We start from the raw sequence: 26,524 nt of genomic DNA on the forward strand, positions 1-26,524 counted from the left end.
AGTAGCTGGGACTACAGGCACACACCACCACGCCCGGCTAACTTTTTGTATTTTAGCAGAGACAGGGTTTCACCATGTTGGCCAAGATGGTCTCGAACTCCTGACCTCGTGATCTGCCCGCCTTGGCCTCCCAAAATGCTGGGATTACAGGTGTGAGCCCAGCCTGGCTAACATTTTTAAAAGACTGTTGCTGTAACTTTTTTTTTCTTTTTAAACCAGGATCTAGTTGAGGGTTGCAGATAGCTCGTTTGCATGCACACACATACAGATGCCTTTTTACTTGTTTGGGGGACAGTCTGGTGATGTTTTTTAGCCCCTTGTGGCTGGCCCCTGGCAGCCAGGTCAGACATGGGCAGGCATGTCCCCTGGTCCTGGGGTCAGGCTGGCCTCTGGGCCCTGGCCTAGTTCCCAGGGAGGCCCAGCTGTTGTAGTAGAGCCTCGTTCAGAGCCTGGCATACAGGGCTCCGGAGACGGTTTCTGAGTGGGACTAGGTGTGGTGGATGGCGGGGCGGACAGAAGGAAGGACTAATCATTGCTGATGGAAGAGAGCCCTTCACTGTTGGTCCTTGGAGGGGCCGCTGCTCTGGTTGCAATTCAGAGGAGGCACAGGGCAACCGCTGCTGGTGCTGTACAGGGCGGGCTGGCTGCCCACCAGCTCCCCAAGGTGGCACACACCTGGACAGCTCATCACTTCCAGCTGCTGGCCACGGCCTGGCAGAGCTCAGACGCAGCCTGGTTGGTGTTAGGGTGCCTCCAAAGGTCTACCTCCTGCTAAAAAAGTTAGAGCGGGCTCAGGCATGCACTTAGGCCCCAGGCCACAAATTCACCAGGGTCGACCTGGACAGTCAGACAAGAGTGGTGGAGACAGGGAACAGCACATGCAAATATCCTAAGGCTGTGAGGTCCACTGACGCCAAAGCCAGCAGGGAACAACACATACAATCAGAAGGATCAAGGGCCATGTCTGCAGGTACCTGTGGAGATGCAGGCCACAGCACCACAGCGTTAGCAGGGGGTACCTCCAGGCAAGAGACAGAAGAGTGCGAGGTCAAAGGAGGCTTTCACATTTGTACCCCAGTTATGCATATAGTTAGTACACCTGTAATACTTTTTTAAAAAAATGTTAAGTTTAAAAAAAAAAAAGCTGCTAGGCGCCGTGGCTCACGCCTGTAATCCCAGCATTTTGGGAGGCTGAGGTAGGAGAATTGCTTGAGCCTGGGAGGTCAAGGCTGCAGTGAGCCATGATCGCGCCACTGCACTCCAGCCTGGGCGACAGAGTGAGACCCTGCCTCAAACAAACAAACAAACAACAACAACAAAAATTAAAGAAAAGAAAAAAAGAGCAAAAGGGTAGATAGAAGTGCTGGAGACTCCCCCAACCCCTCCAGCCCCTGAGCGGTGGTACTGTCTAGGAGCGCGCCGCGGCCCCTGGGCCTCGCTGTCTGTCCTAAATCATTCCGGTGAACCTCTCCGGCTGCGTAGCTCCTTGCCCCCGCGTCGCTTGGACACGGGTGGCATCCTGGGTCTGGCCTGGGCCTCCCGCCGGCCTGCTCCTGAGCCCGCCGCGTCGCCCGCCAGGTGGGAGGAAAAGAAGGCCCTTGCGGCGGCCCCGGCGGCGCCCTCGCAGGACGAGCGCGTGCAGCAGCTGCGGCGCAGGATCTCGGAGAGGGCGGCCGAGCGCAGCAGGCAGGCGGCCTTGCTGCACGTGTCGGCGCCGCGGACCGCGCGCCCCAAGCCCCGGGTGAGTCCGGATTGGTGGGAGGAGCCCGGGCGACTGAAAGCCGGGGCCGGGTGGGGATGGCGGGCGCGGCGCGCAGGGACCGGCGTCCCGGGGCGGGGATGGCGGGGAGATCGGGTCCGGTCCGCGGCCGGGAGATACGCAGCGGCGGGCGCGGGAGGCGGTGGGGGCGTCCCTGCCCGCGCCGACGCGTTCCCCGGCCTGCAGGCGCAGCTAGAGGCGCAGCACTGGCTGGAGCTGGAGCGGAGCCGCGAGCGCAGGCTGCAGGCGCTGCAGCAGGGAGGCTCAGGACCCGGGCCCGCGCGCCGCCTGGAGGCCGCCTGAGCCGGGCCGAGCGCGCCCCACCCGCTTGCGGGCCACCCCCTACACCCGCCGCCCCAATAAAGAGTGCGGCCCGCGGTGCGCGCCTCCTCTTCCTTGGCCGGGCCCCCCTCGGCCCCGGCCCCCCTGCCTCCGCACCCCGACCGCACCCCTCTCCCTTCCTAGCCCCCGTCTGCCCAGAAAAGCATTGCCGGATAAAAGGCAGGACGCCCAGTTACTGCGTGGGGACAAACTTAGGCTAAAAATGTATCCTCTCCTTATCGGGAATTCAACTGAACTGGGCATCCTGCATTTTTATAAGCGAAATCTGGCCACCCCGGCCCAGGTCCTAGCACTTCCCTACAGCCTAGCATAAGGCATTCCTGGTGCGCACCCCTTCGAAACTCCCAGAACCCCTTCAGATGTGGAAATTTGGAACACCCACCCTTTGCCGGCATCCAGGTGGCTTCACCTAGGGAACCCCCGAGACTGAGTGGCGACTGTGAGTGTACGTTTGGCTGGGGAAGTGGCCAGGATTCTTGAGCGCCAACGTTGCACTGGCCCTTCACGCGCCTCCACCATCCTCACTACGGTCCAGGGACGTAGGAACTGGCCTGCCCCTGTTCTGCTGATGAAGCCACAGGTGCTCAAAGAGGCGATGTGACCGGCCTAGAGGGCCAAAACCCAGAGCTGCGCCTGGGAGCACCCCCTCCTCCCCTTTCTCTAGCATCAGAAGCAGCCCAGATCCAACAAGATCAGGGCCAATGGAGGCAGGACTTCACCCAAGGCAGGGACCAAGATGGATTGGTTCTGCAGTGTCCCGGGACTCCGTGGGCTACAGAAGGCTCCACCTTGAGGACAGGCTTGCTGAGTGAACGCCTGCTGGTGACAGCCTCAAGAAGAAAGTACATTAAGCCACCTTCTTCCCAGGAAAGAGAGAAAAGCGTCAAGTCCGTGGGGTGGTGAGCAGAGCAGTAAGGGGTTGGGGAGTGGAAACTGACAGATAAGCTAGATGTCCAGGGGAGATATATTTCCTTCCCCAACTCCCAATATCCTCCTTGGGCCTGCAGAGGAGATGGTGCCTCAGATGAGGAGGCTGAGTCCCAGGGTACACTCAGACCAGGAAGGCAGGCATCTCAGCAGTGACAAGAACAGGCTAAAGGACAAGAGCCCTACTCCAATATTCTGAGTTTGTGAGAACCCCAGGATTTTACCACCCAGGTAGGTAAGGAGAAGAATTTCCACATCTCTGTAGAATTGCAGCTGGGAGCAGATTAAATTTCATTTAAAGAAATAAACATTGGCCAGGCAAGGGGGCTCAAACCTGTAATCCCAGCACTTTGGGAGGCTGAGGCAGGTGGATCACCTGAGGTCAGGAGTTTAAGACCAGCCTGGCCAACATGGTGAAACCCCGTCGCTACTAAAAATACAAAAATTAGCTGGGCGTAGTGGCTGGCGCCTGTAATCCCAGTTACTCGGGAAGCTGAGGCAAGAGAATGGAGTCGCTTGAACCCAGGAGACGGAGGTTGCAGTGAGCTGAGATCGCACCACTCCAGCCTGGTGACAAGAGTCAAACTCCATCTCAAAAAAAAAGAAATAAACATTGCTCATATCCCGTGTTGTGTGATCCAAACCCATTTAATTTGATATTGATGGAATACATTGATGATGCCTGGCCTAGAAAGCCCCTCTGAGCTCTGGGGGTTTCAAAGGGGGATTTATTAGCTCTCATAATGCCAATCCAAAGGCAGCAGACTTCAGGATGTACCCGATCCAGGAGCTCAGTCTCCACTCTGGTAGCAGTTCCAGCCTGAGGAACAAAGAACAGTTGCCCCAGTCTCATTGGCCTGAATTGAACATACTTGGGCTGAGCCAGTTCCTGCAGTGAGGGAAGGTCTGCATGGGTGCCTGAAGCAAGCACTGTGGCAAGGCAGGGGAATTACCCTTCACCTAGAAGGTTGGCCTCTGGAGCAGAGGGGAGATGTGGCAGCTAACAAATTGAGGGTACTATTGGCAACACTGTTGGTTGGCAGGTAACAAGGTCTTCCCCTGCCCCCTCCTGGACTGAGCAGCCGCTTAGAGCTAGCTTGAGAGCACGTGGGGCCTCTCCTCATACAAACCTAGGTGGGAGCAGGCCTCGGACCATTCCCTAAAGTTGTGGCCTGGGAGTAGGCATTGTGTGATAGAGTGATGGCAAAATGTCTGTGTATCCCTGCCCCTTGCCTTGTGACTTTACACCTCCCATCGAGAGGTGGAGTCTATTCCCCCAGCCCTTGCATCTGGTCTGGCCTAGTGACTTTCTTTGGCTAATAGGGTGCAACAGAAGTGACCACGTGCCAGTTCTGAGTCTGGGCCTCAGGTGGCCTTGGAGCTCCCACTTGTTCTCTTGGAACCTTCGCCAGGCCCCATGTGAGCATGACTAGGGTGGCCTGCTGGGATCAGACACCATGTGGAGGACACCATCTCAGAGGCCATCCTAGACTAGCAGAGCACAAAATGAGAGCGCAGCCGGACAAGAACCTCCCCCAACCCTGCTGTCTTATAGATTCATGAGCAACAATAAATGTCTGTCATTCAAAGTATCAAGCTTTGGGGTGGTTTGTTCCAGAGCAACAGCTAAGGGGCACACCCTTAAGAGCCCAGGGCCTTCACACTGGGGGCCCCTGCCTCCCCTCCCTGCACAGGCAGCTAAGGGGCACACCCTTAAGAGCCCAGGGCCTTCACACTGGGGGCCCCTGCCTCCCCTCCCTGCACAGGCAGCTAAGGGGCACACCCTTAAGAGCCCAGGGCCTTCACACTAGGGGCCCCTGCCTTCCCTCCCTGCATAGGCTCTTTACAGAGAATCAAGCTACTCCCCCAAAGGGGGCCAGCCAGAGTGAGATATGGCCCAGCTAGTGCTGACAATCCCTCTCTGAACCTTTCCTGGCTGGACTGCCTGGGGAGTGGACATTTTGCCTGAGTACAGGCTAGTCAGAAGATCCTTGTTGATAGCATCTGAGACCCACTTGGGCAGGGGCTTTCTTTGGAAATAGTGAAGAAACAGATTTAGTAGCTGGTGTGAGGCCCAGGAACCTGCATTCAGCTGGTTTCGACTTGTGGGACTATGGGAGCACCAAGGTGCCGGTCTTTTCTCTAAGCTGCAGGCGTTCAGGGCCCAAGGGAAGCGCTATTTGTGAAGGAACAAGTTCAGTGCAAGTGAGGCTTGGAGAAGACTTGAAAGCAGCTTTTGTTTTTGTTTTTGAGGCAGGGTCTCGCTTTGTCACCCAGGCTGGAGTGCAGTGACGTGATGATAGCTCATACAGCCTTAAACTCCCGGGCTCAAGTGATCCTCTTGCCTCATCCTCCCTACTAGCTGGGACTGCATGCACTTACCACCATACCCAGCTAATTTTTTATTTTTAGTAGAGATGAGGTCTCACTATGTTGCCCTGGCTGAAGGCAGTCTTTGAGCATGAAACTGGTATTTATAGAGACTTTTTCAACATCACATCTTCAATATATTACAGTTACAAACAGAAAACCCTAACTTTTCCTTAGGCTGTAAAATACAAATTACTAATATTACTTTTTCTAAATCTGATTTTTTTTTTTTGAGAGAGAGAGGGTCTCATTCTGTCAATCAAGCTGACGTGCAATCACAGCTTACTGCAGCCATGACCTCCTGGGCTCAAGTAATCCTGCTGCCTCAGCCTCCTGAGTAGCTGGGACCACAGGGACATGCCACCACACCCGGCTAATTATTATTTGTGTGTGTGTGTGTGGAGAGGGGGTTTTACCACGTTACCCAGGCTCATCTATAAACTCCTCAGCTCAAGCAATCCTCCCACCTCAGCCTCCGAAAGTGTTAAGATTACAGGTGAGAGCCACCATGCCCGCCCTAAATCTGATCATTTTTAACCACCATTTTGATTAATCATGTACGGCCCCATTTATGAACTGAAATTCTCTTAAACATTTTCAACTGCATTTATACACGTAGAATCTAATTTTATTTTTTAGCATTTCAGTTGTCTGCCTTATCAAGTATTAATATTTAAATAATTCTCATAGATATATTAAATGTCTTCATTTCTTTTAAACTTTTAAGTTCTCTTTGCTCCAATTATAATCACAAACTTCGGAAAATGTTATACCTTTCAACTTACAGTCGCTATCAAAAATCAAATACTTAGGGCAGGGTGTGATGGCTCATGCCTGTAATCTCAACACTTTGGGAGGTCGAGGTGAGCAGATAACTTGAGCCCGGGGCTTCAAGACAAGACTGGGCAACATGGCGAAAGCCAGTGTCTACAAAAAAAAAATACAAAAAAATTAGCCAGGCATGGTGGCACACACCTGTGGTCCCAGCTACTCAGGAGGCCAAGGTGGGTTGATCATCTAAACCTGGGGAGGTCGAGGCTGCAGTGAGTGAGTCATGATTGTGCCACTGCACTCCAGCCTGGCTGACAGAGTGACACCTCGTCTCAAAAAAAAAAAAAAAAAAAAAGACTGGGTGCGGTGGCCCACGCCTGTAATCCCAGCACTTTGGGAGGCCGAGGCGGGTGGATCACGAGGTCAGGAGATCAAGACCATCCTGGCTAACACGGTGAAACCCCGTCTCTACTAAAAAATACAAAAAAAAAAAAATTAGCCAGGCGTGGTGGCGGGCGCCTGTAGTCCCAGCTACTTGGGAGGCTGAGGCAGGAGAATGGCGTGAACCCGGGATGCGGAGCTTGCAGTGAGCCGAGATCGCGCCACTGCACTCCAGCCTGGGCGACAGAGCGAGACTCCGTCTCAAAACAAACAAACAAACAAACAAAAAACACAAATACTTAGATATTTTACATGAGAATTACATTTATCTATCAGATACTCTACCATGCCAGATTTCCTTACAATTACGAAAAATAGCAAACACATATTGTTTGTAAATGCAACACAAAAACGTTAATGCTCTGGTTTCTATCTGCCTTGTCATTCCGTTATTTGACTCCATTTTCGAGGTTAGAAACTCACTGTAAGGTGGCCGGGCGAGGTGGCTCACACCAGTAATCCCAGCACTTTTGGAGGCCAAGGAGGGTGGATCACCTGAGGTCAGGAGCTCGAGACCAGCCTGGCCAACATGATGGAACTCCATCTCTACTAAAAATACAAAGAAAATTAGCCGGGCGTGGTGGCAGGCGCCTGTAATCCCAGCTATTCGGGAGGCTGAGGCAGGAGAATCACGTGAACCCAGGAGGTTAGAGCTTGCAGTGAGCCGAGATCGCGCCACTAAAACAAACAAACTCACTGTAAGGAAACAATGTAACCCAAGGCATTTGGGGTGACCTTCACGTTGCCTGAGGGTGCCGAGGGACCAGAGATGCTGGCCATGGACTAAGGTCTGGGTATTCTCAGGCAGCAGGGACAAGGTGGGCTTTTTTCCTGGTTGCTAAACCCACGTCAAAGTCGAGCTCAGGGACTGGAGCTCAAGAAACCCACCGCCCATTCTCCAGTCCGACCGGGGACCTGCATGCACCTCTGCCGTGCTGCCCTGAGTCCTCCAATCCTCCACACTCTTCCTCTGTTATGTACACGTCTCCACCCAGGCCTGCAAAAGTCCCAGCTTCCTCGCAGGGGCAGGGACCCGCACGCCGGCCCAGGGCTTGGCACGCGGGGATGCTGAAACAGGGCCAGGCCTGGTTTCCAGCCGATCGTCAGAGTCCCAAGGCCCAGCAACCTTCCTCACAAAGGCCTCGTTAAGAGGCGAGGAAACAAGAGCCGGGAGAGGGGCGCGGAACGGCGGGCGGGACGAACGACCAGCTCCGCGCCTCCGGCCAGCTGCGTCGAGCCAGGGGCACCGCGGCTGTTGTGCGGCTGGAAATCTAGGAATGGGAAGGTTCGGGGCCTGCTCGGCTCCGGAGGCAGCTGGCGGGTCGTCCCTGGCGGCGTTGGAGCGGTCAGTGGCAGCCGGGCACGGGCGACCGGGTCGCCCGGGTCGCCCTCAGACCGTGACTCCCGAAAAACCTTGCGGGCGGGGCGCGCCCGCGCCGTCTCTTGCCGGAAGGTGCGAGTTAGTGCGCTCGATTGTGGGCGGGGGCGGAAAGAGGCGCGTTTTAAAGTGGTAACAGATGGTTTTCTTATCCAATAGGATTAAAAAATTTGTCCTTACCCGGCCGACCGCGGAAGTAGAGTAGGCGGGCGGCCAATGGGGACATGATGGGGGGCGGAGCCGAGGCCTCCGAAGCGGAAGTGGGTTGCTGTTGAGGCGGCGGCATCTTTCTCGAGGAGCTCTCCTGGGCGGCTGAAGAAGGAGCTTCTTCTCCGGAGTGCGCCGGCGGTGGCGCCTGCGGACCTAACTAGCTCCAGGTTAGGCCGAGCTTTGCGGGAAAGCAGCGGTAAGTCAGGGCCTTGCAGATGCGAGGTTTAGGCAGCTTCGCGGCCTACAGAGGCCTCGGCCCGCGCCTCTTGGGGGAGCCGCGCTGCGCGGCTTGACCCAGCCGAGGCTTTGCAGCCCGGGACCTCGAGCCAGCTCTGGTCGCTCGCACTGCCGTCCGCGCGGGCGCACCGAGCCCGGCTTGGCGCGGGCAACAGAAGTTAGGAGGTCTGCGTCTGGGTCTCGGCTCACCCTGGGGGGCCGCGGCCATGGGGCTTAGTTCCTAGCCTAGGAAGGGAAACTGAGACTCTGGGAGGGGCAGGAACGCCCCCAAGGTCACTTGGAAAGTCGGGCAGGATGTGCTGTTAGGGGGAAGACCCGGGCAGGGTTTTTGTTCCCCGCTGACGACGCCTCCTTTGTGTGTTCGCGCCGCCGCCCCGCCATCGTGGGGCCTGCGAGTTTGCCGGGGTGCGTGGGCCGCGTGGCGGGGCCTTTTGTAGGTCGGGAGGATCTGAGTACGGGTGCGGGCCTGACCGTGGGGGCGCCGAGGTCGCAGTCTAAAACTTAGTAGGGCCTCGATTTCCGGGCGCGCTTCCGGGCCCCGGCTGGTGGTTGGTGGAACGTGCGACTGTGAGGCTTGCGGCCCAGCCCTGCACCGCTCGGGCCCTTCACCGCTCTGGCGCGCCTATAGACAGGTGTATGAAGATTCTCACGACCCGAAACAGAGTTGCTAGTAAACACCGCTTTTCCGCCTTTGATCCATCGAGGGAAGAGGGAAAAGGATAGAGCTTGGGCAAGCCGTTTTGGTAGGGATTTCAGCTTTTGTCTTTCACTTGTCAGTTCCCATAGACGTTCACAAACTTAATAATCTTCGTTCTGTTTCTGCACCAAGTTCTTGAGCCAGACGTAGGGTCTCAGCTCTGGAGCCTGGCTTAGACTGTCCAACTGACTGGGGAGACTGAGGTCCAGAAAAGTGAAGTGGTCTGCCCAAGGTCACATAGCCAGCTATTTGGCAGCAGATGAGGTTAAGTCCTACCTGCAAGATTTGGGTTTTGAATTCATTGACCAGGAGTTTTGGGACCACTGTCAATAAAAGAGACATTGAAGGGAATCTTTTGTTACTTTCTTGGTGATTTGCTTTTTAATGGACAAGGACATATTGGGTTCAGTTTTATCTGTGAGTTTGAGGTGAAATAGAGGCATTCGAGTAGCAAGATATATTGCTGGCTTTTGTATTGCCTGAATTTGAGCTTCCAAAAATCTTACTTTAACACATCGTTTATTGATCTTTTCTTGAATTACTACCTTTGTAAGGACCTTTTGTAAACATTGTTTTTCTAATCTTCATGAAATCTTAATGCCATACGTAAACTATTTCTTTTTATATAATGTATGCACATCTGTGCTTTGTACATAAAATGAGTAAGATTTTTCACTCTCCTCAAGATCAAAGTAGCGTATTTTTGAGGTCTCCTGTATGCCAACCTTTCTGCTTGGAATACAGCAGTAAACAGTCGTGGTCCTCCTGTAGCTGGGTGAGGATGGAGGGAATAAGAGATAACTCATTTTATTGTGTTTTGCAAATACTGCCTTTTTTTTTTTGCAAGGTGAAGGTTTATAGCAAGGATTCATCGAGCAAGTCTGTAAATGCCAGCCATTTTTCCAACAGCATGTGCTCACTTTGTGTCTCTTGTGTCACGTTTGGGTAATTCACAATATTTCACACTTTTTTTTTTTTTTTTTTTTTGAGGTGGAATCTCACTCTGTCACCCAGGATGCAGTGCACTGGCGTGTTCTCGGTCTCACTGTAACCTCTGCCATCTGGGCTCAAGTGATTCTCCTGCCTCAGCCTCCGGAGTAGCTGGGATTACAGGCATGTACTACCACACCCAGTTAATTTTTGTATTTTTAGTGGAGACGGGGTTTCACCATATTGGCCAGGCTGGTCTCGAACGCCTGACCTCAAGTGATCCGCCTGCCTCGGCCTCCCAAAGTGCTGGGATTACAGGCATGAGCCACCATGCCCAGCCCCAAACCTTTTCATTGTTACATCTGTTATAGTGACCTGTGATCAATGTTTTGGGTTACCATGAATAGCACTCATATAAGACAGTGAACTTAATTGGTAAAAGTTGGGTGTGTACTAACAGCTCCACTGACTGGCAGTTCCCAGTCTCTCTCCTCAGGCCTCTCAATTCCTTGAGACACAATATTGAAATTAGGCCAGTCAGTGACCCTACAGTGTCCAGGCAAAAGGAGCAGTCAGTTGAATCTCTCTTACTTTAAGTGAAGTTAAGAAATGTTTATCCTTAGTGAGAAAGGCGTATCAAAAGTTGAGATAGGCCAAAAGCTAGGCCTCTTGTGCTGAATGACAGTTAGCCAAGTTGTGAATGCAGAGGAAGAGTTCTTGAAATTAAAATGCTACTCCAATGAATACATGAATGATAAGCCAAACAGCCTTATTGCTGATAGGGAGAAAGTTTTAGTGGTCTGGATAGAAGATCAAACCATCCATGACATTCCCTTAAGCGAAAGCCTAATCCGGAGCAAGGTACTAACTCTCTTCAATTCTGTGAAGAGTGAGGAAGCTGCAGAAGAAAAGTTTGAAACTGGCAGAGGTTAGTTCATGAGGTTTAAGGGAAGAAGCCACCTCTGTAATGTAAAAGTGTAAGGTGAGGCAGTAAGTGTTGATGAAGAAGCTGCAGCAAGTTATGCAGAACATATAGCTAAAATAATTGATGAAGGTGGCCACACTAAACAACAGACTTTCAATGTAAATGAAACAGCCTTATATGGAAAAAAAAATACTATCTAGGACTTTCATAGCTAGAGAAAGGTCAATGCCTGGCTTCAAAGGACAGTCTGATTCTCTTGTTAGGGGCTAGTGTGGCCAGTGACTTAAGTTGTAACTAGTGCTCATTTACCATTCTGAAAATCCTAGGGCCCTTAAGAAGTATGCAAAAATCTACTGTGTGCTGATCATTGAAACAGGAAAGCCTGTATAGTAGCATATCTGTTTACAGTATGTTTTACTGAATATTTTAAGCCCACTATTGAGATCTACAGCTCAGAAAAAAAGATTTCTTTCAAAATATTACTGCTCATTGAGAATGTGCTTAGTCACCAAAGAGGTCTCATGGAGATGAGTAAGATTAATGTTAACATCTGTTCTGCAGCCCATGGATCAAGGAGTAATTTCAACTCTCAAATCTTACTTAAGAAATGCATCTTGAGGCTGAGCACAGTGGCTCATGCCTGTACTCGCAGCACTTCGGGAGGCCAAAGCTGGTGGATCGCTTGAGCTCAGGAGTTAGAGACCAGCCGGGGCAGCATAGTGAGACCACCCCCTCCACTGCCAGTCTCTTAAAAAAAAAAAAAAAAAAGGGCGGCAGGGGGAAAGAAAGAAATGCATTTTGTAAGGCTACAGCTACATAGATTGTGATTCTTCTGATGGGTATCAACAATGTAAATTAAAAACCTCCTGAAAGGATATACTATTCTAGATACCATTAAGAATATTTGTCTCCAGGCACGGTGGCTCACCCGTGTAATCCCAGCACTTTGGGAGGCGAAGTGGGCGGATCACAAGGTCAGGAGATCGAGACCATCCTGGCTAACATGGTGAAACCCCATCTCTACTAAAAATACAAAAAATTAGCCGGTCTTGGCAGCGGGCACCTGTAGTCCCAGCTACTCGGGAGGCTGAGGCAGGAGAATGGTGTGAACCCGGGAAGAGGAGCTTGCAGTGAGCCAAGATAGCACCACTGCACTCCAGCCTGGGCAACAGAGCGAGACTCCATCTCAAAAAAGAAAAAAAAAAAGAATATTTGTGATTCATGGGAGGAGGTCAAAATATCAACATCAGCAGTTCACGGTGGCTCACGCCTGTAATCCCAGCACTTTGGGAGGCTGGGGCAGGCAGATCACCTGAGGTCAGGAGTTTGAGACCAGCCTGCCCAACATGGTGAAACCCCGTCTCTACCAACAAAATACAAAAATTAGCCAGGCATGGTGGCACGCTCCTGTAGTCCCAGCTACTTGAGGAGCTGAGGTAGGTTAATCGCTTGGGCCCAGGAGGTGGAGGCTGCAGTGAGCCGAGATTGTGCCTCTGCACTACAGCCTGGGCAACAGTGAGATTCCGTCTTAAAAAAAAAAATCAATTAACACAACAAGAACTTGGAAAAAGTTGATTCTGACCCTCATGGGTGACTTTGAGGGGTTCTAGACTTCAATGGAAAAAGTAACTGTAGATGTGGTGGAAATAGCAAGAGAACTAGAATTAGAAGTAGAGCCTGGCCGGGCCTGGTGGCTCACGCCTGTAATCTCAGCACTTTGGGAGGCCTAGGCGGGTGGATTACGAGGTCAGGAGTTCACAACCAGCCTGGCCAGATGGTGAAACCCCGTCTCTACTAAAAATACAAAAAATTAGCAGGGCGTGGTGGCGCACGCCTGTAATCCTAGCTACTCTGGAAGCTGAGGCAGAGAATTGCTTAAACCTGGAGGGGCAGAGGTTGTGGTGAGCCGAGATCACACTACTGCACTCCAGCCTGGGCGACAGAGCGAGACTCTGTCTAGAAAAAAAAAAGTAGAGCCTGAAGGCTGGGCCTGATGGATCACCTGAGGTCAGGAGTTGGAGACCAGCCTGGCCAACATGATAAAACCTTGTCTCTACTAAAAATACAAAAATTAGCTGAGCGTGGTAGTGGGATTGTTACTGCATAGTAATCCCGGCCACTCCAGAGGCTGAGGCAGGAGAATTGCTTGAACCCAGGAAGCAGAGGTTGCAGTGAGCCAAGATCGGGCCACTGCACTCAAGCGTGGACAATAGAGTGAGACTTTGTCTCAAAAAAATAAAAGGGCCAGGCAAGGTGGCTCACACCTGTAATCCCAGCACTTTGGGAGGCCAAGGCAGGCGGATCACGAGGTCAGGAGATTGAAACCATCCTGGCTAACACGGTGAAACACCGTCTCTACTAAAAACACACAAAAAAATTAGCCAGGTGTGGTGGCACGCACCTGTAATCGCAGCTACTCAGGAGGCTGAGGCAGGAGAATCGCTTGAACCCAGGAGGCAGAGGTTGCAGCGAGCCGAAATCACGCCATTGCACTCCATCCAGCCTGGTTGACAGAACGAGACTCTGTCTCAAAAAAAAAAAAAAAAAAAGTAGAACCTGAAGATGTGACTGAATTGCTGCAATTTTTAAATAAAACTTGAACACATGGAGAGTTGCTTCCTGTGGACAGGCAAAGAAAGTGGTTTCTTGAGGTGGAATTTACTGCTGAAGGTGCAGTGAACATTGTTGAGATTATAACAAAGGATTTAGAATATTTTATAAACTTAGTTAATAAAACAGTGGCAGGGTTTGAAAGGATTGACTCCAATTTTGAAAGAAGTTCCACTGTGGGTAAAATGCTGTCACACAGCATTGCACGCTACAGAGAAATCTTTCATGAAAGGAAGAGACAACTGATGCAGCAAACTTCATTTTAAGAAATTGTCACAGTTGGCCCAGTGCGGTGGCTCACGCCTGTAATCCCAGCACTTTAGGAGGCCGAGGCAGGCGGATCACCTCAGGTTGGGACTTCCAGACCAGCCTGGCCAACATGGAGAAACCCCGTCTCGACTAAAAATACAAAAAAATTAGCTGGGCGTGGTGGGGCATGCCTGTAATCCCAGCTACTCGGGAAGCTGAGACAGGAGAATTGCTTGAACCAGGGAGGCAGAGGTTGCGGTGAGCCAAGATTGCGCCGTTGTACTCCAGCCTGGGCAACAAGAGTGAAACTCCATCTCAAAAAAAGAAAAAGAAAAACTGTCACAGCTGCCCCAACCTTCATTAGCCACTGCCCTGATCCATGAGCAGCCATCATCAGGGCAAGACCCTTCACCAGCAAAAATATTACAACTTTGTGAAGACTCAAATGATCATTAGCATTTTTTATTTATTTTTTAAGAGAATATCTCCCTGTTGCCCCAGTTGGAGTGCATTGGTGCGATCGTAACTCACTGCAGCTTCCAACTTCTGGGTTCAAGAGATCCTCTCACCTCAGCCTCCCAAGTAGCTGGGGCTACAGGCGCACGCCACCGCACCTGGCTTTTTGTTTGTTTGTTTGTTTGTTTTTGAGATGTAGTCTCACTCTGCCGCCCAGGCTGGTGTGCAGTGGCGCGATCTCGGCTCATTGCAAGCTCCGCCTCCCAGGTTCACGCCATTCTCCTGCCTCAGCCTCCCGGGTAGCTGGGACTACAGGCACGTGCCACCATGCCCAGCTAATTTTTTGTATTTTTAGTAGAGATAGGGTTTCACCGTGTTTGCCAGGATGGTCTCGATCTCCTGACCTCAAGATCCACCCGCCTCAGCCTCCCAAAGTGCTGGGATTACAGGCGTGAGCCACCTCGCCTGGCCCACACCTGGCTAATTTTTAACAAAGTTTTGTAGACTGGGTCTTGCCCTTTTGTCCAGGCTGGTCTCAGACTCCAGACTCATGATTTAATATCTATGGTTGAGTGATTCCCTACTTCTTACTCTCTTACAGAACCACTCTATAAGATAGTTGTTGTAGTTAGCCCCATTTTACTCTTCCTGAGGCACTGGGAGATCAGGGTCACTTGCCCAAGGTCACACAATTAGTAAGCAGAGCTCGAAACTTCACCCCACCCCTGACTCCTACCTTTGTTCCTTTTGTTAGGCTTTGTTATGTCATCTGCTTTTTTTGTGTGGTGGGAAAGCACATGGCCAATGTTTCTAGAAACTTCAAATAGTAAAAACAAAATAGTATCTTTATTTTTGCTTTCACCGCAGAGGAGTCTGATAATTATCCTCAAGAAAATTTATTGATTCTCAGTAACTGTATTGTATTCCTCAAAGTTATTTTTCCTAAGTTTTCTCCTCTCACCAGCTAAGGGAAGTTGTCCTAGGGCCTAGGCATTTCCCTGTCTGCCACACCTCACCTCTTACTTTAGCCAAACTACTGCTAAATTCTGCTCCTAAATATGGCAGCATTCTGTGTTACCTGCACTAAAATTTGCTTCCCTTGTAAGTACCTTCTTGATGTCTTCCAGTGTTGGTTCTCGCCTCCTACTCTTGCAAGTTGAAAAGTTGAAAATGCCTCAGGTAGAAATGTTCTCTCCTATTCTCCCATCATGATCATCTGTGTTTTTTTGTTTTTTGTTTGTTTTTTGAGACGGAGTCTTGCTCTGTCACCCAGGCTGGAGTACAGTGGCACGATCTCAGCACTGCAACCTCTGCCTCCCGGGTTCAAGCAATTCTCCTGCCTCAGCCTCCTAAGGACCTGGGATTACAGGCATGTGCCACCACGGCTGGCTAATTTTTTGTATCTTTACTAGAGATGGGGTTTCACCATGTTGGCCAGCCTGTCTCGAACTCCTGACCTTGTGATCCACCCACCTCGGCCTCCCAAAGTGCTGGGATTACAGGTGTGAGCCACCACGTCCAGCCCTTTTCTTTCTTTCTTTTTTTTTTTTTTTTAATTTAAGAGAAGGTTGTCTTCCTATGTTTCCCGGGCAGGAGTGCAGTGGCTATTTGCAGGTGCAATTATATAGCACAGTACAGCCTAAAACTTTTTTTTTTTTTTAAAGACAGAATCTTGTTCTTTCTCAACTCACTTCAACCTCCACCTCCTGGGTTCAAGTGATTCACCTGTCTCAGCCTCCCGAGTAGCTGGGATTACAGGTGGGCAGCACCACGTCTAGCTCATTTTTGTATTTTTATTAGAGACAGGGTTTCACTATGTTGGCCAGCCTGGTCTTGAACTCCTGACTTCAGGTGATCTGCCCGCCTCAGCCTCCCAAAGTGCTGGGATTATAAGCATGAGCCACCATGCCCTGCCTACAGCCTCAAACTTTAAGCTAAATTAATCCTCTTGCCTCAGTGTCCCAAGTAAATGGGAATACAGGTGCTGATATGGTTTGGCTGTGTCCCCACCCAAATCTCACATTGAATTCCTACATGTTGTGGGAGGGACCCAGTGGGAGGCAATTGAATCTTGGGGGCAGGTCTTTCCCATGCTGTTCTCATGATGGTGAATAAGTCTCAAGAGATCTGATGCTTTAGGTCGGGGGCGGTGGCTGATGCCTGTAATCCCAGCACTTTGGGAGGCCAAGGCGGGCGGATCACGAGGTTAGGAGTTCAAGATGAGTGTGGCCAACATAGTGAAACCCTGTCTCTACTAAAAATACAAAAATTAGCTGGACATGGTGGTACATGCCTGTAGTTCCAGCTACTTGGGAGGCTGAGGCAGGAGAATTGCTTGAACCCAGGAGGTGGAGATTACAGTGAGCCGAGATCATGCCACTGCACTCCAGCTTGGACAACAGAGTAGACTTAATCTAAAAAAACAAAAGAGATCTGATGCTTTTATAAGGGGGAGTTTCCCTACACAAGCTCTCTTTGCCTGCTGCCATCTATGTAAGGCATGACTTACTTGCTTCTCCTTGCCTTCCGCCATGATTGTGAAGCCTCCCCGGCCATTTGGAACTGGCTTTTGTAAACTTCTTGCTTTTGTAAATTGCCCAGTCTCAGGTATGTCTTTATTAGCATCGTGAAAACATACTGGTACAGTAAGTTGGTACCAGTAGAGTGCGATGCTGCTGAAAAGATACCTGAAAATTTGGAAACAGCTTTGCAACTGGGTAGCAGGCAGGGATTGGAACAGTTTGGAGGGCTCAGAAGAAGACAGGAAAATGTGGGAAAGTTTGGAACTCGCTAGAGACTTGTTGAATGGCTTTGACCAAAATGTTGATAAGGATATGGACAATGAAATCCAGGCTGAGATGGTCTCAGATGGAGATGAGGAACTTGTTGGGAACTGGAGCAAGGGTCACTCCTGTTATGTTTCAGCAAAGAGACTAGCCGCATTTTGCCCCTGCCCTAGAGATTTGTGGAACTTTGAACTTGAGAAAGATGATTTAGGGTATCTGGCAGAATAAATTTCTAAGCAGCAAAGCATTCAAGAGATGACTTGGGTACAGTTAAAGGCATTCAGTTTTATAAGGGAAGCAGAGCATAAAAGTTTGGAAAATTTGCAGCCTCCTGTCAATGTGCTAGAAAATAAAATTCCATTTTCTGAGGGGAAATTAAAGCCAGCTGCAGAGATTTGCATAAGTAACAGGGAGCCAAACGTTAATCCCCAAGACAGTGGGGGGAAATGTCTCCAGGGCATGTCACAGGCCTTCATGGCAGCCCCTCCCATCATAGGCCCAGATGCCCAGGAGGAAAATATGGTTTCCTGGGCTGGGCCCAGGGTTCCCCTGCTGTGTGCAGCCTAGGGGCCTGGTGCCCTGCGTTCCAGCCGTCTCAGCTGTGGCCAAAAGGGGCCAACATAGAGTAGAACTCAGGCTGTGGTTTCAGAAGGTGCAGGCCCCAAACCTTGGCAGCTTCCACATGGTGTTGAGCCTGCGAGTGCGCAGAAGTCAACAATGAGGGTTTGGGAACCTCCACTAGATTTCAGAGGATGCATGGAAACACCTGGATGCCCAGGCAGAAGTTTGCTGCAGGGGCGGGACACTCATGGAGAACCTCCGCTAGGGCAGTGTGGAAGGGAAATGTGGGGTTGGAGCCCCCAAGCAGAGTCCCTACTGGAGCACCACCTGGTAGAGCTGTGGGAAGAGGGCCACTGTCCTCCACACCCCAGAATGATAGATCCACTGACAGCTTGCCCTGTACACCTGGAAAAGCTGCAGACACTCAACACCACCCAGTGAAAACAGCCGGGAGGGAGGCTGTACTCTGCAAAGCCACAGGGGTGGAGCTGCCTAAGGCCATGGGAACTCACCTCTTGGATCAGCGTGACCTGGATGTGAGACATGGAGTCAAAGGAGATCATTTTGGAGCTTTGAGATTTGGACTGCTCTGCTGGATTTCGGACTTGCATGGGGCCTGTAGCCCCTTTGTTTTGGCCAATTTCTCCCATTTGGAATGGCTGTATTTACCCAATGCCTGCACCCCCGTTGTATCTAAGAAGTAACTAAATTGCTTTTGATTTACAGGCTCATAGGTGGAAGGGACTTGCCTTGTCTCGGATGAGACTTTGGACTTTTGAGTTAATGCTGAAATGAGTTAAGACTTTGGGACTGTGGGAAGGCATGATTTATTTTAAAATGTGAGGACATAAGATTTGGGAGGGGCCAGGGGTGGAATGATATGGTTTGGCTGTGTCCCCCACCCAGATCTCATCTTGAATTTCCACATGTGGGAGGGACCCGGTGGGAGGTAATTGAATCATGGGGGCAGGTCTTTCCCATGTTCTGGTGATGGTGAATAAGTCTCATGAGATCTGATAGTTTTATAAGGGGGAGTTTCCGTGCACAAGCTCTCTTTGCCTGCCGCCATCCACGTAAGACGGGACTTACTCCTCCTTGCCTTCCACCTTGATTGTGAGGCTTCCCCAGCCATGTGGAACTGTTAAGTTCATTAAACCTCTTTCTTTTGTAAATTGGCCAGTCTCAAGTATGTCTGTCTCAGCAGCGTGAAAACGGACTAATACAGGTGCACACGGCTGTACTGTCCCCCGTCCTGCTTTTAAGGCTTTCTTTGTTTCCTAATTGTGACTGTTTTTACTTGCAATGTAAAGGCTTCATTTCCCCCATCTCTGAAATTATTTTTTTCTCTTTCAAAAACACTCTGCCATCTTTTCAAGGTATCCGCCATCTCTTTCAAGCATGTGAGGAGCTTGATAACTTTTGTTGGGGGTCGGTGTTCAGAATGACAAGGGTCTTGCCCAGGCTGGAGTGCAGTAGCACAGTCATAACTCACTCTAGCCTCAACCTCCCAGGGCACAAGCGATCCTCCCATCTTAGCCTCCTGAGTAACTGGGACTACAGGCACGTGCCACCACACCCTGCTAATTTTTTTTTTTCTTTGGTATTAATATTTTGTAGAGAAGGAGTTTCACCATGTTGCCCAGGCTGGTCCAGAACTCCTGGGCTCAAGCAATCCTGCCTTGGCTTCCCAAAGTGCTGGGATTACAGGCATGAGCCACCATGCCTGGCCCTAGAGCTTGATAATTTCATTCATTCATTCTTTTTTTTTTTTTTTTTTGAGACAAAGTCTCAGTCTGTCACCCAGGTTGGAGTGCAATGGCGCAATCTTGGCTCACTGCAACTTCTGCCTCCCGAGTTCAAGGGGTTCTCCTGCCTCAGCCTCCTGAGTGGCAGGGATTACAGATGCCCACCACCATGCCTGGCTAATTTTTGTATTTTTAGTAGAGGTGGGGTTTCACCATGTTGGCCAGGTTGGTCTCAAACTCCCAACCTCAGGTAATCTGCCCACCTTGGCCTCCCAGAGTGCTGGGATTACAGGTGTGAGCTCAGACCTTGATAATTTCAGTGAGGAAAAAAAAAAAATCTCATTTACATGTTTGTGCCAAGTGCTGTGCTAGTGGGTGGGGACACCATGATAAGTATTTGATAAGTTATGTTTCTTGATTTAAGGGAGTATAGAAGAAATGGTTAAGTCAGGACTAGGAGGAGTGAGAGAAATGGAAGCAACCTTTGAGGTAGGCCCTGAAGAACGAGCAGAAATTCCCTAAAGCGGGGTGGGAGCGGCAGGACCAACCTGGCCAACTTCGGACCTTCTTTGAGGTCCAAAGTCAGGTACTTTGAACTGACTTCCAGGATACCTGGAGTAAAGTACAGTTCTGTTTGAAGTGTTTGTTTGGAAAGATGAGTTTGTTCCAGTGAGGTTGCTGTATTAGAGAACCACTTGAGAGTTTGCTGCCCACAGTGTCATCTGTGAGAAATATTAGGTGAACGCAAAAAGTTGAGGCCAGCTGAACCAAGCCATGTAATATACACACCTTCCACATAGATCAGTCACCTCAGTTGACTTGTATGTGAGCCACATTTGTGTCCATCTGATGTTACAGCATTCACTCTCTTTGCCTCCACTTCTCAATAACTCACAATCTGTAAACTGACTGAGGCCCGCTTCCACAGAGCAAGCTTCAGGCCTTTTTCAAGGTAAAGTATCACAGTTACTTGTATTTCTTAACCATTTCTCATGTGTAGAGCTTTACTACCATTTTCACTAGATTGTTTTGTGTGTGTGTGTCACTGACAACATTTTTCAGTGTTGTGCCCTAATTCCATTTTTCCTCACAAATGGTGGGTTTTTGCATAGCAAGATGCTTTTTTATTTTTTTTAAGGAACACATATGTCCGTAACTGCAAATGAACCCAGAAAAGTGAGGACGAGTTGGGAGGGGAGGTTGGTATGATATAAAGACTTTGACCTATGTTCTGTAGGCAATGCTTGTGATTATTTGGGAGCAATACTTGCAATATTCTTGGATATTTTGGAGCCTGGTGATTCTTAGCATTACCTTGTGGCGCTTTTCAGTTCCTTGGACCTCCTCCTCCTGCTCTCTTCTGCCTTTCTGTCTCCTTCAGAGCATTCCTGTTGTGCGTGCCTGCTTTTATCTTCCCTGGGAGCCAGTGATTTTTTTGACTTGCATGTGTGTTTTTGTGTTTTTTTAAAGACAGAGTCTCGCTCTATCACCGAGGCAGGAGTGCAGTGGCATGGTCAGGGCTCACTGCAGCTTCAACCTCCCAGTCTCAAGCGAGCCTCCCACCTCAGCCTCCCAAGTAGCTGGGACTACAGTCGTACACCACTATGCCCGGCTAAGTTTTTGTATTTTTTTGTAGAGACAGGATTTCCCCATGTTGCCCAGGCTGGGACACTGATTTGTTAGTCTACTTTCTAGGTAAAGTGTTGAAGGAGAGTTGAAGAGGGCCTAGATTAGGGCTTCTGGGTGCTGGATTTCTCCACCAAGATGCAAGCCCCTAGAGAGTTGAGTTTGGCTAGCCCTTTGGTGACAGCTTGTATTGTCCCTTAGCCCACAGATGCATCTGACTAAGAGTAGAAGAACATGTCTCTCTTTAGGAGCCCGGAGCCAGAGACAGTGCTGTTTGAGATTAGGCCCCCTCTGGTGTGCCCTTCGAGAATTCCCATTGTGGGGCACTGCTCAGTTGCTCCCATCTGGTATGGGTCAAATAATCAGATTTGTGAGTGTCTCACAACCATCCCTGTACCCCAGCCAACCCTGGGTTCTGAATACAGTAGAGGCAGCTAAGCTGCTAGCTGGTCTCCAGCAGGCTCTGTGCTCAGTGGCCATCAACACCAGGTAGCTTGGCAAGCCTGCCTCCTGTGCTGACTGTGGGCCCTGGGGAAGTGTCGAGGATGTTGACGGCCTCTAGCATCTGAGGTACATCTGCCCCTCGGCCTCCGGAGGAGTGGATCCTTAGGTTTCCTTCATTATCTTACCCTTTCTCCTGGCTCCCAGAAATTACCTTGTTTTTATATGAGGCCCCAAAGCCTAGGCCATCTTGGCTGATAGATGTGAAAGCCCTTTGCTCCTTTCAGGCCCCTGGGGATTTTGGTTGTAGCCTGATTGCTGGTGGCAGCTTAATCGGGGCCATAAGATAATTTTATGGAAGACCTGGTTACTTGGCATCTGAACAAGCCTCATTGCCTCTCTGAGCATAGTCTGCTGCTTTCTGCTTTGATCAAATTCATTCCTCTTGTCCCTGCAAACCTTCAGGGGAGGCCAATGTTCAAGGCCCCTGAGCCTTAGGAATAAATAACTCTGGGTGAGAACTGCCTGTCATTGGCTGTGTGCCGGCTTTCTTCAACCTCCTCTGAGTCCTGTTCTAAGTCTAAGCCGTTGTGATTAGCTACATCCTGCCAAGTCTGTTCTGGAAATGAATAAAGCCCTTGCTGAGAGCCGGAAACATTGGTTCCAGTTCCTCCTGGGGTGAAGGTTTGTTTTGCCTTTATTTAATAGCACTCATACCTGTAAGAAGGGACATGCTCTCCAGCCCTTCTGATATAATACCTATTTATTACTTGATTTGTTGATCATCTTTCCAGCTAGGATATATGCTCCATGGGTAGTTTTTTGTTGCTGTTTCCCATCCCATTCCTAGCCCCTGGAGCAGTGCCTTACCCAGACTAGGCACCTGTGAATAGTTAGCAAATTAGTTGATAGAGCTGCCTTCTGGGTGCTAGGAACCATACTGGGTGTTTCATTCAGCGGTCACTGGTTCCACAGAGGTGAGGTGTTCTACTCAATTAAAGATGTGGACACTGAGGCACAGAAGGCAAGTATTTGTCCAAGGCTGTAGGGCTTATTGGCCAGCCACATCATTGCTGACCGCTTAACCACATACCCTCATTTGTATAATGAGCAAGAGGCTCATATTTCTTCTGAGTATTAAGGTGTGGTTATTGATATGACTGAGGGTATCAAAGTTCTGTTTAAGAGGTGTTTGTGAACAGGTGCGGTGGCTCACACCTATAATCCCAGCACTTTGGGAAGTCAAGGTGGGCAGATCACTTGAGGTCAGGAGTTGGAGACCAGCCTGGCCAACATGGCAAAGCCCCATCTCTACTAAAAATACAAAAATTAGCCGGGCATGGTGGTGGGTTCCTGTAATCCCAGCTAGTTGGGAGGCTGAGGCACAAGAATTGCTTGAACCTGGGAGGTGGAGGCTGCAGTCAGCCAAGATCACACCACTGCACTCCAGCCTGGGTGACAGAACAAGACTGTGTCTCAAAAAAAAATTATTTGTTTTTATTGATTTTTATTTATTTATTTATTTTGAGACTGAGTTTCACTTGTTGCGCAGGCTGGAGTGCAATGGTGCGATCTCGGCTCACCTCCACCTCTTGGGTTCGAGCGATTCTCCTGCCTCAGGTTCCCGAGTAGCTGGGATTACAGGCGCCCACCACCACACCCAGCTAATTGTTGTATTTTTAGTAGGGGGTGGGTTTCACCATATTGTTCAGGCTGGTCTCGAACTCCTGGCCTCAGGTGATCCCCCCCCGCCTCGGCCTCCCAAAGTGCTGGGATTACAGGTGTGAGCCACCATGCCTGACCCAGGTCTCTTATTTTCAGTGGGTAATTGTATCAGACTCTGCCTCCCAGGTGGGGTTTGAGGGTTCTGTGTACCTGGTGTAGGCCTAGGCTAAACAGAAGAGCTTCTCGTTAGAGCATCTCCCTGTGGACTGGCTGCAGAGTTACGATATCATTCTGGTTCTGCTGTGCTCCCCACTGCCCCTTTTCAGCTGACTCTTTGCTCATAGGAATACAGTGGTATGAGATAGGGTCATAGAATTTGGTTCCAGTCTAACACTCTTCCTGTTTCCTGCCCGCCTGTATGTCTCTATCCATTAGCAGACTCCTTTATGTATGATAGAGACACATGCACATATGCATACACGGACAGTCCCTGACTTACAGTGTTTCATTTAGAATTTTTCAACTTATGATTTATTGGGAGTTAGCCCCATTGTACGTCAAGGAGCATCTGCACATCGTATACATATATACCATGAATACACATAATTATATGTCACACTCCTGCTAGAGTGGGGGGGGTCAATATCTGAAGTGCTTATAATAGCTTTATTGGGGGGGACCTCTAAGAAAAACAGAATAATTACTTAGACCTTAAATAATAAATCTATAAGAATGAAGAAAGCCCCAAAGCCCTTCCAGCTTCCATCCCGTCAGTCACCTCTCTGTCCTATACTCTGCCACTACCCCGAGCCTCATGGCTTTCTTCTCACCTGGGCTACCCTGAGTCTCCTCCTTGGTCTACAGTCTGACTTGTTCAGTCTCCCATCTGTTCTCACCAGACACAGGTGACATGGTCTCTAAATGCAGATCTCAACATGTCATCTCTGTCCCAAAACCCTCGATGGCCCTGTCCTGAGGGTGTAGTCAGTGAGGCTTGTTAGGAACCCTCGGCACCTTTGTTGTCCTCCACACAGTGCTCGTGTGGGACATCCCTGCTCCCTTCCGCCCACCCCACCCACATACATTGTTTCTTAATTAACTCCTCCTGTCACTTGAGGCCCCATTCAGCACTGCTTCCTCTAGACAGCCCGGCTTGATCCTCAGCGCGTTTGGGCTGGGACTGCGACTCCTTTGCTGCTGCTTCCACTTGCTTAGGTCACCAGCGTCCCACTTCCGTGTTTGAGCTCACTGGCCGCCTTTCAGTTCCCCAGCCTGTGCATTGCAGCTGTTCACTGCTTCCTCCTCCTTGAAGAAGGAGGTTTTGTCTGAGTGACGGCTCCAGGTTCTCCTAGCTTTGTTTCTTTTAAATTCTCTTTTACAGATTCTATCTACCTGCCTCCCCAAGTTTTCACACATTCTGAAATCTCTACGTCCATCCGAGTTCTCACTCTTGAGTTTCCAGCTACCTTGGGCCCTTTCTCCCTGGGTGTCTCACACCCTGCTTTTCTAAAACTACACTCAGCACCTGTTTCTGTTCTCCCTTCCCTCATTGGGTTTTATGGCCTCATTCTTGCAGAGTAAGAAGCTAGATACCTTGGCGTGAGTTGTTTCTCCTTTCACCTTGGAAGCTTTAGGAATACCTAGCATCCGGCTCTCCTGACCATCCCCAGTTAGGAATGACCACTTCTCTACCCCAGCTCCTCTTTTCTCAGTGGCAGGGGCGCCATCAACACCCCACTCTTACCCTCATTTATTCCTTCAATAAATATGAGCATCTGCTTTGTGTAAGGTCTTAGCTAGGTAGAAAGTAAATAGAGCCTTGTCCTCGTAGCGCTTACCTAAGTGAGAGCATACTGGACGAGAGACTGGAGGATGGTGGGGCCCTTTCTTGAAATGGAGTATATGTTGGCGGAAGGAGGAGGCAAGGGTTCCTTTTGGAACACACTAAATTTGAGAAATCTGAAAAATCACCGTCAGTGTTCCCGCTAGTTTCTGGAATTGATGTATTTGATTCTGGCACTAACATACCTATTTGAGGGTGTGGGTCTTGGTATCAGACTGCCCTGGTTTAAGTCTAGGCTCTGTTTACTAGGTGTGGATGACTTTGGGGAAGTTCCTTAACTTTAATCCTTAGCTGCTTCATGGGTAAAATGGGGAACATAACAGTGCTTATTTCCTTACTGGGTGATGTGAGGAGCACATGTGGTGATATTAATATTTAGGAAGCGCAGTGCCTTGTGCAGATGCAGAGAAGGCACCTCTCAGCTGTTGTTAGTTTTCTTATTCCATTGGACTCTCACCTGCATGATCCAGAACCCTTTGTAGTTGGTGAGGGCTACTTTCCCATGACCGCTAAGGTCTCCATTCACTCTGCATTTCTACGTCCCCACCACGCTGGGATGCTCTGCTGGAAATGCTCCTGTCTCACCTCAGTGCCCTGGTGAAATCCAGCCTCTTGGTGGCTTATCCCCAAGACCAGCCTTCCAAATTCCTTTGAACTCTGACTCCTGACCCTTACTAAACCCAAAAGAGAGAGAAAAACCAGATTTGGGGTGAATTGCTGTATGGGCCAGGGCATGGAGAATGAGGGGGCTCCAGAAAGCTTCCCAGGGAAGTAGTAATGGTCTAGCTGGGCCTGCAGGGATGCAGGAGGCTGGTTTCAGAGTGGTGAGGGGTGTGCAGGCCAGGACAGCCACAAGGCACATCTTCAGCAGCCGTATTTGGAAGCCTCAATATCAGTGAAGTGGGAGGAGAGAGGCTTAGGAACAGCCTGGGTGTGGACATCAGGTGTTTCCCTTTGCTCTGCAGGCTGATTTCTCTGTCTTCCTTTGTCAGTAGCTTCTCTTTTCTAAATTCTAAGACACGCTATTGATGTGGCGGGGAGAACAAGCCCCTATATGATAGATGTGCACCCAAATGTAAGATATTTCTTGAGATCAGAAACATTCGTGGATATGAGAACCCAGGACATGTGGTGGATCTGGGACTGTCGTGTGGTCTGAATGATCTTGTGAGTCCTAAGGTGATGTCGAGGCACCTCCCACCTCTGTTGAAACCAACTAGACAAGTCTTTTCCTAGCCAGAGCCTCTTCCCTGAATGTCTGTTTAAAGTTGAACACTTACCAGGTGAGGTGTTGCTTTGAGAAGCATTTGTGCTCCGGGCTGGAGTGCAATGGTGCAGTCATGGCTCACTGCAGTCTTGACCTCCTGGGCTCAGGTGATCCTCCTGTCTCAGCCCCTGGAGTAGCTGGGACTACAAGTGTGCACCGTCACATCTGGCTATTTTTTTAATGTGTTTTTATTTTTATTTTTTGAGACAGAGTCTCTCTCTGTTGGCCAGGCTGGAGTGCAGTGGTGCCATCTTGGCTCATTGCAACCTCCGCCTCCCGGGTTCAAGT

At 50.0% G+C, this 26,524-nt stretch overlaps 2 protein-coding genes and 2 long non-coding RNA genes across 9 annotated transcripts in view, besides 11 other annotated features; 3 read left to right on the forward strand and 1 right to left on the reverse strand.

Annotated features, from left to right (window-relative positions):
* The window catches only part of CFAP99 (cilia and flagella associated protein 99), a 44,048-nt gene extending 41,910 nt beyond the window's left edge, over nucleotides 1-2,138 (forward strand). The window contains exons 15-16 of one of the 2 annotated variants that reach the window (NM_001193282.4): nucleotides 1,579-1,741; nucleotides 1,946-2,138. In NM_001193282.4, coding sequence (NP_001180211.2) covers nucleotides 1,579-1,741; nucleotides 1,946-2,062 — 280 coding nt within the window. In that variant the 3' untranslated portion in view covers nucleotides 2,063-2,138. Of the gene's footprint in view, nucleotides 1-1,578 lie in introns of both variants that reach the window. The other variant, XM_047415685.1, reaches the window with a different exon arrangement.
* Nucleotides 1,547-2,166: a silencer, noted in NCBI's record as "silent region_15169". NCBI's record gives its function as "represses an Ori minimal core promoter by ATAC-STARR-seq in GM12878 lymphoblastoid cells {active_cell/tissue: GM12878}" and the evidence as "EXISTENCE:reporter gene assay evidence [ECO:0000049][PMID:35858748]".
* On the forward strand, nucleotides 2,140-4,620 carry LOC105374353 (uncharacterized). Of its 2 annotated transcripts, XR_925057.3 has the most exons (3): nucleotides 2,145-3,000; nucleotides 3,109-3,259; nucleotides 4,352-4,620. It is a non-coding gene; the product is annotated as an uncharacterized LOC105374353 (long non-coding RNA). The 2 variants fall into 2 exon arrangements; XR_007057992.1 differs by having other exon boundaries at nucleotides 2,140-3,259.
* Nucleotides 2,584-3,083: an enhancer, noted in NCBI's record as "H3K4me1 hESC enhancer chr4:2465175-2465674 (GRCh37/hg19 assembly coordinates)". NCBI's record gives its function as "activates a minimal SCP1, AML or CMV promoter by ChIP-STARR-seq in naive H9 embryonic stem cells {active_cell/tissue: H9 hESC(naive)}" and the evidence as "EXISTENCE:reporter gene assay evidence [ECO:0000049][PMID:30033119]".
* On the reverse strand, nucleotides 3,658-8,087 carry LOC107986250 (uncharacterized). Its single transcript, XR_001741551.3, has 2 exons — nucleotides 7,536-8,087; nucleotides 3,658-3,848 (listed from the first exon to the last, which is right to left on the reverse strand). It is a non-coding gene; the product is annotated as an uncharacterized LOC107986250 (long non-coding RNA).
* Nucleotides 7,785-7,954: a silencer, noted in NCBI's record as "silent region_15170". NCBI's record gives its function as "represses an Ori minimal core promoter by ATAC-STARR-seq in GM12878 lymphoblastoid cells {active_cell/tissue: GM12878}" and the evidence as "EXISTENCE:reporter gene assay evidence [ECO:0000049][PMID:35858748]".
* Nucleotides 8,105-8,464: an enhancer, noted in NCBI's record as "active region_21174". NCBI's record gives its function as "activates an Ori minimal core promoter by ATAC-STARR-seq in GM12878 lymphoblastoid cells {active_cell/tissue: GM12878}" and the evidence as "EXISTENCE:reporter gene assay evidence [ECO:0000049][PMID:35858748]".
* Nucleotides 8,105-8,720: a biological region, named in NCBI's record as "H3K27ac hESC enhancer GRCh37_chr4:2470739-2471311".
* Nucleotides 8,148-8,720: an enhancer, noted in NCBI's record as "H3K27ac hESC enhancer chr4:2470739-2471311 (GRCh37/hg19 assembly coordinates)". NCBI's record gives its function as "activates a minimal SCP1, AML or CMV promoter by ChIP-STARR-seq in naive H9 embryonic stem cells {active_cell/tissue: H9 hESC(naive)}" and the evidence as "EXISTENCE:reporter gene assay evidence [ECO:0000049][PMID:30033119]".
* Nucleotides 8,242-26,524, forward strand: part of RNF4 (ring finger protein 4) — a 46,752-nt gene continuing 28,469 nt past the window's right edge. For 2 of the 4 annotated variants that reach the window (NM_002938.5, NM_001185010.3), the window contains exon 1: nucleotides 8,242-8,394. The gene's annotated coding sequence lies outside the window, so the exon portion shown is untranslated. Of the gene's footprint in view, nucleotides 8,395-8,588; nucleotides 9,179-10,122; nucleotides 10,246-26,524 lie in introns of those variants that run through there. The other 2 variants (XM_047416062.1, NM_001185009.3) reach the window with 2 other exon arrangements.
* Nucleotides 8,765-8,884: an enhancer, noted in NCBI's record as "active region_21175". NCBI's record gives its function as "activates an Ori minimal core promoter by ATAC-STARR-seq in GM12878 lymphoblastoid cells {active_cell/tissue: GM12878}" and the evidence as "EXISTENCE:reporter gene assay evidence [ECO:0000049][PMID:35858748]".
* Nucleotides 16,288-16,788: an enhancer, noted in NCBI's record as "H3K4me1 hESC enhancer chr4:2478879-2479379 (GRCh37/hg19 assembly coordinates)". NCBI's record gives its function as "activates a minimal SCP1, AML or CMV promoter by ChIP-STARR-seq in naive H9 embryonic stem cells {active_cell/tissue: H9 hESC(naive)}" and the evidence as "EXISTENCE:reporter gene assay evidence [ECO:0000049][PMID:30033119]".
* Nucleotides 17,704-18,228: an enhancer, noted in NCBI's record as "H3K4me1 hESC enhancer chr4:2480295-2480819 (GRCh37/hg19 assembly coordinates)". NCBI's record gives its function as "activates a minimal SCP1, AML or CMV promoter by ChIP-STARR-seq in naive H9 embryonic stem cells {active_cell/tissue: H9 hESC(naive)}" and the evidence as "EXISTENCE:reporter gene assay evidence [ECO:0000049][PMID:30033119]".
* Nucleotides 24,421-24,700: an enhancer, noted in NCBI's record as "active region_21176". NCBI's record gives its function as "activates an Ori minimal core promoter by ATAC-STARR-seq in GM12878 lymphoblastoid cells {active_cell/tissue: GM12878}" and the evidence as "EXISTENCE:reporter gene assay evidence [ECO:0000049][PMID:35858748]".
* Nucleotides 25,204-25,705: an enhancer, noted in NCBI's record as "H3K27ac hESC enhancer chr4:2487795-2488296 (GRCh37/hg19 assembly coordinates)". NCBI's record gives its function as "activates a minimal SCP1, AML or CMV promoter by ChIP-STARR-seq in primed H9 embryonic stem cells {active_cell/tissue: H9 hESC(primed)}" and the evidence as "EXISTENCE:reporter gene assay evidence [ECO:0000049][PMID:30033119]".

Source organism: Homo sapiens, chromosome 4 (genome assembly GCF_000001405.40).
Source record: "Homo sapiens chromosome 4, GRCh38.p14 Primary Assembly".
NCBI classification, from domain to species: domain Eukaryota; kingdom Metazoa; phylum Chordata; class Mammalia; order Primates; family Hominidae; genus Homo; species Homo sapiens.